The sequence below is a fragment of the Homo sapiens genome, chromosome 7 (genome assembly GCF_000001405.40).
Source record: "Homo sapiens chromosome 7, GRCh38.p14 Primary Assembly".
NCBI lineage: Eukaryota > Metazoa > Chordata > Mammalia > Primates > Hominidae > Homo > Homo sapiens.
Window position 1 is genome coordinate 8,592,102 of NC_000007.14, and position 12,074 is coordinate 8,604,175.

Genomic DNA, 12,074 nt, shown 5'->3' on the forward strand with positions numbered 1-12,074 from the left:
GGGTACTATGGAGGAAACCAAAGAGGTGTTAGGATGAAGTGATTGAGGAAGTGATATTTAAGGGAAGACCTGACAGGTGGAAAGGAGAAAGCTGGGATGAGCAGAGGAAGGTGTATACTCATTATGGGACATGATGTGTGAGAGTCCTGGGGTAGGCAGAAGCTTGAAGAATTCAGTCACCATCTGTTCAAATGTCACGCAATACATAATATAGCAACAATTGCTTTCTGGTGGTCAGTTCTCCATAATCCATGCATGACAGGTTTATGTGCATTTCATGGTTATAGTTTAAACCGTGCCCATATTTCCATTTTGTAGGGGCTTTAGCAGCCACTTAGGGGTAAGTCATGCCTTTTGTAGGCTTGTTTACTTTTGAAGTTGTAAATTGGGTTTAAATTATAGCTTCTTACAAAGCAATCATCATATTTACTGTTCATTGAGGACTTATATGTTAAGTAGTATGTTAACCATTTTATTCATATTATTTCTTTTAATTCACTAAAGCAGAAATCTTGGCAAATGTTTCCACAATGGGCCAGATAGTAAATATTTTAGGCTTTACAGAGCTCATCGTCTCTGTTGCAACTATTTAACTTTGCTGTTTTAGTACAAAAGCAGCTGTAGATAATATGTTAATAAATAGGTGTGGCAGTGTTCCCGTAATGCTTTATTTTTGGACACTGAAGTTTGAATCTTATATAATTTTCACATATTGTGAAATAGTCTTTTTTTTTTTTTTTAAATGTTCCAACCATTTAACAATGTAAAAACCATTCTTAGCTCACAGGTCATACAAAAACAGGCACTGGGCAGCATTTGGCCCAGGGGCTGTAATTTACCTACTCCCACCTGCTCTCCTCATTGTCCCCGTTTTACCAACACAGAAGCTGGAGTCACTGGGAAGTTGTTTATAGCCAACCCAGGTCTGGTAGATTCCAAGGTCCATTTCTTTAACTCAAATGCCTCACAGCATTAACAATTTGTTGGGTTCCCAGAATGATTTCTTAATAGTTTCTGGTGTATAAATTTTAGTCCCTAAGCAGATTGCATGTTTCTCAGAGTAAGAAGCATTTTTTTTTTTTTTTCTATTTGTCTTGTTTCCCTCCACAGGAATGATGGACTTACAGGAGGCATTCGGTAACGGGTTATCTGCCCTTCAAATGGTTTCTCTGGAAGTGGCTATGAACTGTAGATTTTTGGGAATACATAGCAATCATATTTATATTGCCCACCTAATTTAGCTTTTTAAAGCAGGGCCCTGAAAACTGATTAGAAAGATGATTAAAATCCTGGATGCCATTTTCACATCATATTTGTAGAATTAGTGTCATATTTCCAGTTTTCAAATGCAAATCTTGTAAAACAAAAAAGTTGATTTCTCTTCCCTTGTGGAATAAATTGCCCCCTAGTCTCCTGAACCATGGGGAATTCTTTAATTTCTTGTTTTTAAATTGTGCCTGTGGGGTCAATTAAAGGTGAATGTAAGAGCTTTCAAAATCTAAATAAAATGAGTAAATAAATAGAAAAAGCTTGAAGAAATTCATTAATAATACACCAGTAGCCAGTTTGTCTTGATGTCTTGCTGTCTCTGGACCTCTTCATCTCCCTTCCTAGTTACCTTAAAATTAAAATTCAGATGTGACAAAACTGTCGTTAACATGTAGAAAGTGGCTAATATTTTTAACAATGAGAACTGGCCTTGTCATTTTGGATTCTGCTTATAACAGACATTTTCCATAGATTGGAAGATCCAAAATGTACCTTGGTTTGGTAAAAATATATTTAAAGCATACACGATACGTTACATACAAAAATACATATATTTTTACAAACATTTCAGCTTATGATAACATTTTTAGACATCAACTTAAAAACATGTAAGTGGGTAGTTTTTCAAAATTCTTGTGGGAGGTATGATAGCAACAAATTTTGAAGACCACTGCTTTAGGGCATTTTTGTTTTAAAGGTTTCTCTGAAAGCCAGAATTCTTCAAGATCCCTAATGATTATCTACCTTGAAAGGCCCACGTTTTACTAGACCACCACACTCCACCCCCCACGTTTACTTGAATGGTAAATGTTAAGAGAATGCTGATGAAATGACACGCATACAAGCTACAGTAGTTTTGAAAAGAGTCTTTTTCACTCTGTAGTATTTGCAGGAAGAGGAAGTGTTTTGATATTTACCTTGGGTAGAAACATGAAAGGGCCGTTTTGAAGTTTCACATATTTCAGACATGCAGAAGTATGTCATTGTTGACGATGGTAAACAGCTGGTAAAGATAACTGCCTGGAACAGCTGGAGGAGGGAGTTGACATTACCCTGTTTAGAAGTCTGGAAACAGAGAAAGCATATTTTTTTAACTACAGTGTACATCAGCAGCATAGATGCATAGTCTATGTGCCTATAAAGCAGCCATTCAAGCTTAAAAATATGTTTCTCTTTGCTTGTTTGTGGGACAAGGCTGTGAACAAAATAAATTAAGTGAGGAGGTTCTGACCTCCGCAGCTGGCTTCCACAAAATGATATGAGGACTTGGGGGGAAGAGAAATGAGTTTTGTCTGGCCTCGGTGGAACCTTCTCAAGGGAGCCTTGGTGGCAAGTTATATTTCTTTGGAAGTCGACTTGACTTTACTCTGGTTCAGGGAAGGAAGATTCTACTTAATAGAAACCTGGTGTCCCTAAAGAATCAATGCCGCTTCCAATTGGCATTTTCAAATTTAAACAAATTATTGTCTTGTGTAGGCTCAGCCTTTTCATTAGATTTTCATGGGGAATAAACTTCCTGAATTTGCTGCGGGCTGAGTGTGTATTTCCATTAATTAGCAATGCAGGAAGCAGACACCAAAAGGTGAGCAAACCTAGGTAAGACTCAAAAGCTCTTGAACCTGACAAAGCTACCGAGGTTCACAAAAGTGAAGTTACAGCTTCTACACTAAGTGGAATCTCAAGGTCACCCTGGAGAATTATTTGGCCCTAATTTTCAATGGCAACATCATCATAATGTTCTTTGGAAGCACACTTTTATCTGTCTTTTAAAAATGACATTTGGTTTTCTCTAGTATAAAGAAGGAGTGTTACTTCTGCCAGTATAAATAAATAAATAAATAAATAAACAAATACTTGATTTCAAGAATTCTGGCTTATGTCACTTCGAGCAACCCCAGTATAAGAAAATATAAAATAAAGACAACAAATATGCATTTAAAGAAGTCATGTAATGAATTTTAGTGCATTTAAAATATCATTGGATGTAGAAATAATGATTTATTTTTTACTTAAGAAAAAATGAACTTAAAGCCATGTTTACCGTAAGTTGAAAAGTTGAAAAATGACAACCATCTGGAAATTATTTGGTAAAATATATTGTAAACATATATATATAGTAATTTCATAATTTAGTTTACATAGCGAAAATCCTTAAACATTGTAAGTATGAATTAGTCATTGGATACATAATATTGATTTAATCTGCTAGGCATTTGTTTGAAAAGTATTTGATAAAATCCAGTTTTTAATGCTGCAACTTCTGACAATTTGTGAAAGTGTATCTGACTTCTACGGAACTCAAGAGTATACTGACTATATTTTAGTTGAGCTTAGTTATTTGTGTGTGTGAGTGTGTGTCTGTGTGCGTGTGCATGTGCGCTTCTGGGGAGGGATGGTTTTCTTTTGAATTTTTCAAGTTTCTTTCCGTAATGAAAGGAAAATTGAACAAACATCATCCTTTACCATCGCTTTTAGTGATTATGTACCCATTTGAGGCTCGGTTTTACAGCCTGTTCTCTACTCTTAAAAGGTTATTATAAGGACAGATAAATAATAGGTTAAGTGATTTTTAAGTTACTCAGATGAATTAATTTGTAAATTTAACATTGTACTGACATTCGGATCCCTTTAAAAAATTTAGCATGCAAGTTTGATATGTCTATGATGTACATGTCACAGAAAACAAATGGTATATATATTCACTTAGGCATTATATATTTTTTTCCTGGGGATTTTGCATTATTCAATTTTTATACTTATAAAATTAGTTAAGGTTGAGGACTATTGAAGTCCTGTTTCTTCTAAGGTGAGCAGAGTGGTTGAAATTGGAAAGTTCATTTCTGCTAAGTATGTAAGCTCATGAGCTAATTCTGAATTGCCTGGGAAAATTCTGTTCAGGAACAGAATGACAGCATTGGTACAGAAATAAAACCTTAAAAAGGATAAGAGTGCTTCAGAATTAGAGTTTGGAAAGTGACAGAATAGCGTACCTGGAAGGAGTTAATGAAGACATTTAGTTATTAGGGCTCTTGGAAGAATGTTTCCTGCTAAATGGCCCACAAAATCTAACATCAACCACTGCCAAAGTGTTTTTTTATTGGAATGAACTTTACTATTATATCTTAAGTCAGCCTATGCAGGCCAGTTAACTGTCATGTCTAAGAGTCTACCATGTGTCCAATGGAGATTAAAGATGGGTGTCATTTACCTTTCAATATCATAAGTAACACTCATTAAACATTTACTATGCTAAAGCTTTATAGAAATCAGATTTTCTAATAATCCTGATAGCTCTCTAAGGTATATATTATCATGATCCTTATTTTACAGTTAAGACATTAAGGCACAGAGAGGTTAGGTGACTTGCCCAGGTCATGCAGTTGATAAAGGCTGATGTTAGTACTTGAAATCAGGGAACTCTGAAGCCTGTGTTCTGAATCACTGCTTTTACTTTGGGAGTAGTGCTTGAAGAGCTCACCTTCTAATAAAGGCGAATGGGTACATACAATTTTAATATAGTAGGATAAATATAATCAAACAACTATATGCAACGTGCAGGAATCCTATAGAAAAGGAACTATTAATATTATTTGTGGGAATAATCTTGGTATGGGAAGAAAGGCAGCTTACAGAGTCAGTGACACCTTGGTAAAGCACTGAGGATAAAGAGAGCCCTTCCAGGTGGGCAAAGTGGGGATGGTCATTCACAGCTGAGGGAAGAGTCTAGCAAATATAAGAGATTTGCTACTACAACATGAATTCATAGAGCTGCAGATACTAGTTATGATAAATTTTTAAATGGGGTGGGAGTGGGTGAAGTGTTCAAGAGATGAGAATAGAGACTGACAACAACAAAGACAGTTGGGTCTTTTCAGCCAGAGTACGATGTTTTGGCCATTAAAGGGTAAAGTTTATTTAGCTAGATTGCTTAGTTGGACATGCATGGTGGACAGACGTGGTGGCTGGGAGACCACTTCGGGTCCAGTGCTAGAATCTAACCAAAGATAATGGGGGTGGGCAAGTGGGTGGATGGTAGAGCACCTGTGTTAGGGAATACAAGAGTAAAAGCAGGCTTGGGGAAGATAGTGAGTTTGAATAAAGGTTGTACAATTACTTGATGAGTCATTCAGTGATATTTTGTACTTTCTTTATGTCTAGAATTTTCTTTAATGTACATTTGTATGGGGACAGATACTCAGAGGAACCAGTTTTAAAAATCAAACAGCCTCTATTTGCTCATTCAGTCATCAGAGTTGTCTAAAGAATTAGAAGACTGAGTAAATGCCTCCAGCTCTGCTTATGTAGTCAGGTCCAGGATGTAAAAGGAGGATCCGGGTGGGGGGCGGGGGGGCAGTGTGGGGAGCAGTAGCTATCACCTTTCTACTTGGCAACATGCCTTACTACTCTGAAGACCAGTCATTCTTTAGCTACTGTTAATGCTGATTACACAGAAAATTGCACAACACTTCACTTTGATTTGGCCAATTGAAATGCCCTTTTAGCAAACAAGTGGCACTACCAAATCAGTCAATTCCTGGATCAATGCAAATCTGAGAGTTCTTTTACTGCGGAGAGTGGTCCTATCATTTGAGTGTAGTCAATTAGCAGAGGTGATATGAAAACCTCCAGCTCTGCTATAGAAAGCAAATAGGCTTTGCATGATTATTAAGCAGTTTTCTCATGTGTTCTTTCCTTGATGGAGTTAAAGGCATTAGGGTTTGAATCCTGCCCATGCTCATATATAGAGCATATGTCATCCTCTCCATCTTTATTGCTATTCATATTGAGGTCAATTATGAGCTGCTGTTTAATGTCACCATGAAATTGTTCAATTATTTTCTCCCAGCGTCTAAGCAGCTATCCTCAAAGGGATTTGGGAGGAGTGGTATTAATACTGAGGAATTCTTAAGAAGCCAGTAGGCCTGCATGGCTCTCCTTTTATAATTCACCCCGTCTCAATTATGAGATCCAAAATGCTTGATAAGTTGTTAATGAATAGCTTAGTATCCAATCTTCTCTTTGGCTAATATTGGGGCACATAGACCTGGTTCCCTTCCTTGGTGGTGGAGTTGTAACTAAAGAAGGGAAGCTGCTATCTTTGTCACGTTTCCCCTCTCTCCCGCAACTAGACTCTTCTGGAGCGCCAAGGGCCCTTGCTTGGTTATTCCTAACTAAGGAACAATTAGGATGAGTTTTCTTTTTCCATTTTAATGTTGGAATGGGAAGCAAGGGGGTAGGGGAAAAGAAACCTTTTTTATTGAGTGAACCATAAGTATATTTGTACAGCGTCAGTATTTTTCTGTTTGCAGTTTACAGATAAAATGTACTTGTATCTCTGTTATTATTGTCATGATCTGCAGGGGGATGCAAAGAGAAATATTTCTGTAAAGAAACAAATATCAGTGCTTTTCTTGAAATAGATCATGTTTCAGTTACTCCTTTTTTCTCTGTATAGCCTGGTAAGAGTTTTCTGAAGCCAGCCTAATTGCTTCTGATCATTGTATGCCTGCTGTAGGCTCTGGGATTTGGTTATGTCTGTAGCAATGCAAAATCAGCAAAGTGTCTCTTTGAGACATTTCAATTTGTTCATTTATTCATCCAAACTTTTATGCATAAGGCATTGTGCTAAATTTATTGGGAGAAGGGGTATAATTGGATGAATCAGCCAGGGACCCTCTTTAAAGGAGTTTGTGATATAATGGAGGCAGTAGACATGCAAACAGTTAACTCAAATACAATGTAGAATGAACTGTGTTATAAGAGGAACAAATAGAAGGCTGTGGGAGAAGAGATGAAGAAGCAGTTCTCAAAGAGATGACTTCCTGGAAGAGAAAATATTTGAGCTGAGCCTTAGGAGTGAGAAGGATAGTTATAGGTGGCATGGGATTGGTTGGACATTCAGGATGAGAGAATGCCATCAGCACTCACGAAGGTCATTACGCTCTACGATTTCATCTTCTTAACAATTCCCTGCCATGACTTTTGTTGTGGCTTTCAGAATCCTTCTATTTCCTAATGCTGTGTTACTCCTCTGGGCTCATCATTTTTGAAAATCTCATTCTCATCCTGTCTTCCCCACTTAGTAAGTACAATAGTATTCAATTTTCTTGGCTTAGTGTATGAGGTCTGCCATGATCTGGTAGGCACCTATGTCTGCCATTTCATGTCTTTCTGCATTTTAATTTAGGATTACCTATTCATCAGGCATGGATTTTCACCCGTTTGTCTTACTGCCTTCAATTCCTTCATTTCTTACCTGCCTGTCAAACACTAAGTTCAATCACTTCAATTTGTACTATTGTTAGCACTCAAGACCTGGTTTATTGTACTAGTACTGCAGGCTAGTATGAGTGGAGCCAGTAAACAGCACCATTACAGAGTGCTGTTTAACCACACTTGTTCATAACTTGTGCCCATGTTACCCTTAGATAGGAAGATTTTTTTTTTTTTTTGGTGAAGGGAGGGATTGTTGGTATTAGTTTAGTAGCAAATATAATTTTCATCTTTAGTCATTATTTATGTATCTTTCAGTCATATTACGATAACTATGCAGATGCTAAAATAGGTTAATTTTGGAGGAAGAGCTTAAGAAATGAAAGATGTGGGATTGTGGGAGTGAGAATTATCTGAAGACAGTATTAGTAGTTGAAGGAGGGAAGGTGGCGTTGGTGGAGGGTATTTTCCAACATTTTCAAATTTCTTTCTAAGAAAATATTTATTTATATGATGTTGGTCTTCAAATGAGAAGTTTGATTCAGTAAATAAATATTCAAAAAATGATTATTGCAGGGCATTGGGTATATACTCGTTCTGGGGTATAAGAAAGTAGGCAAAGGCCTACTTTCTTACTGTGTTGACTTTTTAACCGAATCCTTGGAAACCCATGCCAGTGATTGAGAGGAACCATGTAAAAAGCTAATTTGGAAACCTGAAATCCCAATCAGGAGATTTTGCAAGGTTCAATTTATTTCCTACTTATGCTTTTGCCCATTCAGTGCCTGACCCACTGGCTTCTGGTGGTATTGGCTTCCTTCTCTGATCTATCTGTTTAGTGTCAGTTCCCAGGTATCAGATTGCATAACTGAACCATCTACTTGACGTACCTCTGTGCACCACATATGTGAAAGGCCTGTCACTGTGGTCAGATCTGGTTTGCAGATCCTGCTGTGTGGACCTGCATCAATGTCTAGGCTCTGTCTAGGACAGTTTGGGAGAGATCAGACGTAGATGTTCAGAGCAGAAATGTGGATTAAGTGGTATGACAACTAGTTCTAAGTCTTGAACTTTAAGCCACTTGCCTTCATTGAACCTTCTCTCTTCTCTATTACTTATGATTGACTTTTGGTTTCACAAGAGTATTTAAATTTTATTGCATAATATAAATGAACCACTTTGTTTTCATTAGGGGACTCCATACAAATGCAAACACTTTGTTTAAAAACAGAAGTATATACAGTTGTCCCTCTGTATCCCTGGGTTCTGCATCCCTGGATTCAACCAATCTTGGATCAAAAAGATTAAAAAAAGTTATGTCTGTACTGAATGTGTAGACCTTTTTTTTTTTGTTTTACTATTGTCTACATAATATAGCATAAAAACCATTTACATAAAATTTATTGCATTAGGTATTATAAGTAACATAGAGATGATTTAAAGTATATGGAAGGATATGCATAATTTATATGCAGATATTATGACATTTTATATCAGGAACTTGAGCATCCCCAAATTTTGGTATCCACAGGAGGTCCTGGAACCAATGCCCCTCAGATACCGAGGGATGAGTTTATATACTTTTCCACATGGTGATCACAATTTCTTCCTTCCTGAGCCTTATGCAATTAGTTACTATCATTTCTCTTTTCTGTTTTTTTTTTAAATCCCATTAAAGGAAGTAACCAAACTTCTTTTATTAGTATCTGAATTTTAATCTACTATGGTGTTTGGTCATAGGAGAACCAGACTAAGAGGAAGTGAAAGAAATATCATTTTTGTTGCCAAATCACTTTTCAATGCATTAAGGGAAAAAAATGCAAAAAGACAATGCTACCAAACTGGTGTATCCAGTGACTCTGAGGTTACCCAAGTTCTCAGCGCTCTCTACCTGTTCTTCAGGATGAAAAGTTCTCAGTCCCTTCACCATTTTCCTTTTCTTCCTCATGTGAAGACCAAGGTATATTATTCCAGGAATGATTAGTGATGTTGACCCTTGTCCTCACCAAAGTTATGCTTGAATCGTCTTTCATTGAAAATAGGGACAAGTCCCATAAGAGGTACATCTACTCATCATGGAATAGATCATGTCAGGACCCAATTCCCTAAAATACAGGAAGTCACTGTGACCTTGTGCTTATTTAGGGCCTAGCTGCTCTGTGATGAGAAACTCCTTCACTTCCCAGATTTGTGATCCAACTGGCTGTTCTTCCTGTAACTCAGAGCCACAATGCTATTCTAGGACCAGACTGCAGGATATTCGGTAAAATGCCATCATTTGTTGGCTGCTGGAAATATTTGGCTTTAAATCAGTTACAATAAAAGTCCAGACCGAAGACCAATGGCCACATTTTAGCTTAATCAATACTGAAAGTTAAATACTTTTATGACTTTCAATTTTCTTTTGCCTCCAATCTCTTATATATATGTTATAGTAATAATAATTAGTATGTTCAGTATTGGTGGATATAGTATATCAGAAAAGTACACAACTTGCTTTTAAGAGTACAAACACCAGTCATGTTCATTGTAAAACATTTAGAAAATGCCAATAGGCAAGAGTAGTTAAATTCTGTTACTCAAAAATTTTACTTTTGTTAATATTTTGGTGTTATATGCTTTTTTAGTTATTTCTCTTTATATTTAAAATAGTTTTGTAAGTGATCCACGAATGTGTTCCAAATTTTTCTTCCTTCATTAGAGATCTGAACACATTATTCCTAAACTCAAAAATCTTTACTTGCTTTCTGTTGTGTCTATAGAATAAACTCAGTCTCCCTGGCCTGTTTTTAAGACTCCTCATGGTCTTTTGACTGTTTCCCCTTAAATTTTCTGATTTATACTTTGGTCTCTGACATATGAATAGGTGCAGTTTTGGGTACTGGGTTCCTTTGTCTCAAATGCCCTTTCCCCTTCATTATCCATCTGGCTAAGGCTGTTCAAATCCTCTTTCCTTTGAATGTTCTCAGAATTAATGTCTTGCTTTACTCTGCTATTCAGCTCATTTATATTAAGCATAATTCTCAGTCTTTCCTTAACTCCATGTTTACATACTGTTTTCTCTACTAGATTTCAAGTCTGGAAGGAGAGGATTGTCATTCTCACAATTTGTTGTGAAGACTCATTTACTGTCAGTGTTCTCCACTCTGCTATTATCTGTATAAAGGCAGGGTCCACCTTCATAGCTCCAATATCATGTTCCTGTTGGCTGGGGAGAGAATAGTACAAACTCAACAATAGTGGACTTACCCTTGTGTCTTTTTTTTTGATGGAGTCTCACTGTTGCCCAGGCTGGAGTGCAGTGGCACAAATTTGGCTTTCCGCAACCTCTGCCTTCCTGCCTTAGCCTCCCGAGTAGCTGGGATTACAGGCGCCCACCACCATGCACAGCTAATTTTTGTATTTTTAGTAGAGACGGGGTTTTACCATGTCGGTCAGGTTGGTCTCGAACTTCTAGCCTCAGGTGATCTGCCTGCCTGGGGCTCCCAAAGTGCTGGGATTACAGACGTGAGCCACCGTGCTCTGTCTACCCTTGTGTCTTTTGCAGCTCTTAGCATAATGCCTAGAATATGGTAATGCCTAAGAGATATTTGTTGAATTGAATTGTTATTGACTGTAAGTAAGGAGCATACATGGGCTATGTCCAAATTTGTTGGAACATTTTTGAAGGAAGTAAGCTTATTACTCTGAAACCTATTCAGTAGTATAAAGCATTTTGAATAGAAATACAGTTAAGTATTATTCCAGGTAGCAAGGTGTATTACAGAGTGTTCTTAGTGACCTCAATAGCCACTATCACCTTTTTAAACGTTATTGTTCTTACTATTTTTGTTTTTGTTTTTTTGCTCAGCTGGACACATTGTCATTAAGATTGAATCAATAATTTTGTCATCAGCCACCTTCCAGGTAGAGGATTCCACCCATTTGCTTAAGACCCCTCAAGTCTGCCTTCATCATTTTGGGTATCATGGGTCTTTACTATCATTTGTTTAGCTTTTCCACATTTTGTGATATCTTTTCAGCTTTTACCTATTAGAATTATTTTTCCAAGTCTACTTTTGGATAGAATATAATTTTACTGTTTTTGGTTGTTCTCTAAGTGACATTGAAAGGTACACACTTTTTATTTTTATTTTTTACTCTCTCCAGGATCTTAGTAGGAAGGAATGCATTTTATCTTTCACCACACTGTGTAATCTCCTTGGCATCCTCTCCTTTATTTGTTGGATTTTTCTTTTAATTAAAAAGTCATTCCAGGTATGTTTTATTGCTTATTTATTCTTTCCTTATTTACTTTCTCAAAAACTAATTGAACATAGGAAAGTAAATCTTTAATTCTGCTAAAAATATCAAGACTATTATTGAAATCTATTCTTACACATTCTTTAAAATGAGCACCCCAAATCATTGTTCTTTCTTGGGACAAATGCAATGAAGATAGTGTGTTAGCTATGCGATATCATCAGTGGTGTGCAAATGAGGAAAAAAATAAAAAAAAAAGTGGATGGTTCTATCCTTTCTTCTAAAGACTAAGCTGGTAGCTGCCCTTAATGTTGGTGGCATTTTCTAAGTCAGAATCATGTACTACTTGG

At 36.8% G+C, this 12,074-nt stretch overlaps 1 protein-coding gene and 1 long non-coding RNA gene across 4 annotated transcripts in view; one reads left to right on the forward strand and one right to left on the reverse strand.

The window, feature by feature from the left end:
- Positions 1-12,074, forward strand: part of NXPH1 (neurexophilin 1) — a 319,353-nt gene that overhangs the window by 158,493 nt on the left and 148,786 nt on the right. The gene's annotated exons all lie outside the window — the stretch shown is intronic.
- LOC105375144 (uncharacterized) overlaps positions 1-12,074 on the reverse strand; it is a 67,939-nt gene that overhangs the window by 27,577 nt on the left and 28,288 nt on the right. For all 3 annotated transcript variants that reach the window (XR_001745084.2, XR_007060208.1, XR_927017.4), the window contains exon 3: positions 2,187-2,334. This is a non-coding gene — a long non-coding RNA (uncharacterized LOC105375144). The remainder of the gene's footprint in view (positions 1-2,186; positions 2,335-12,074) is intronic.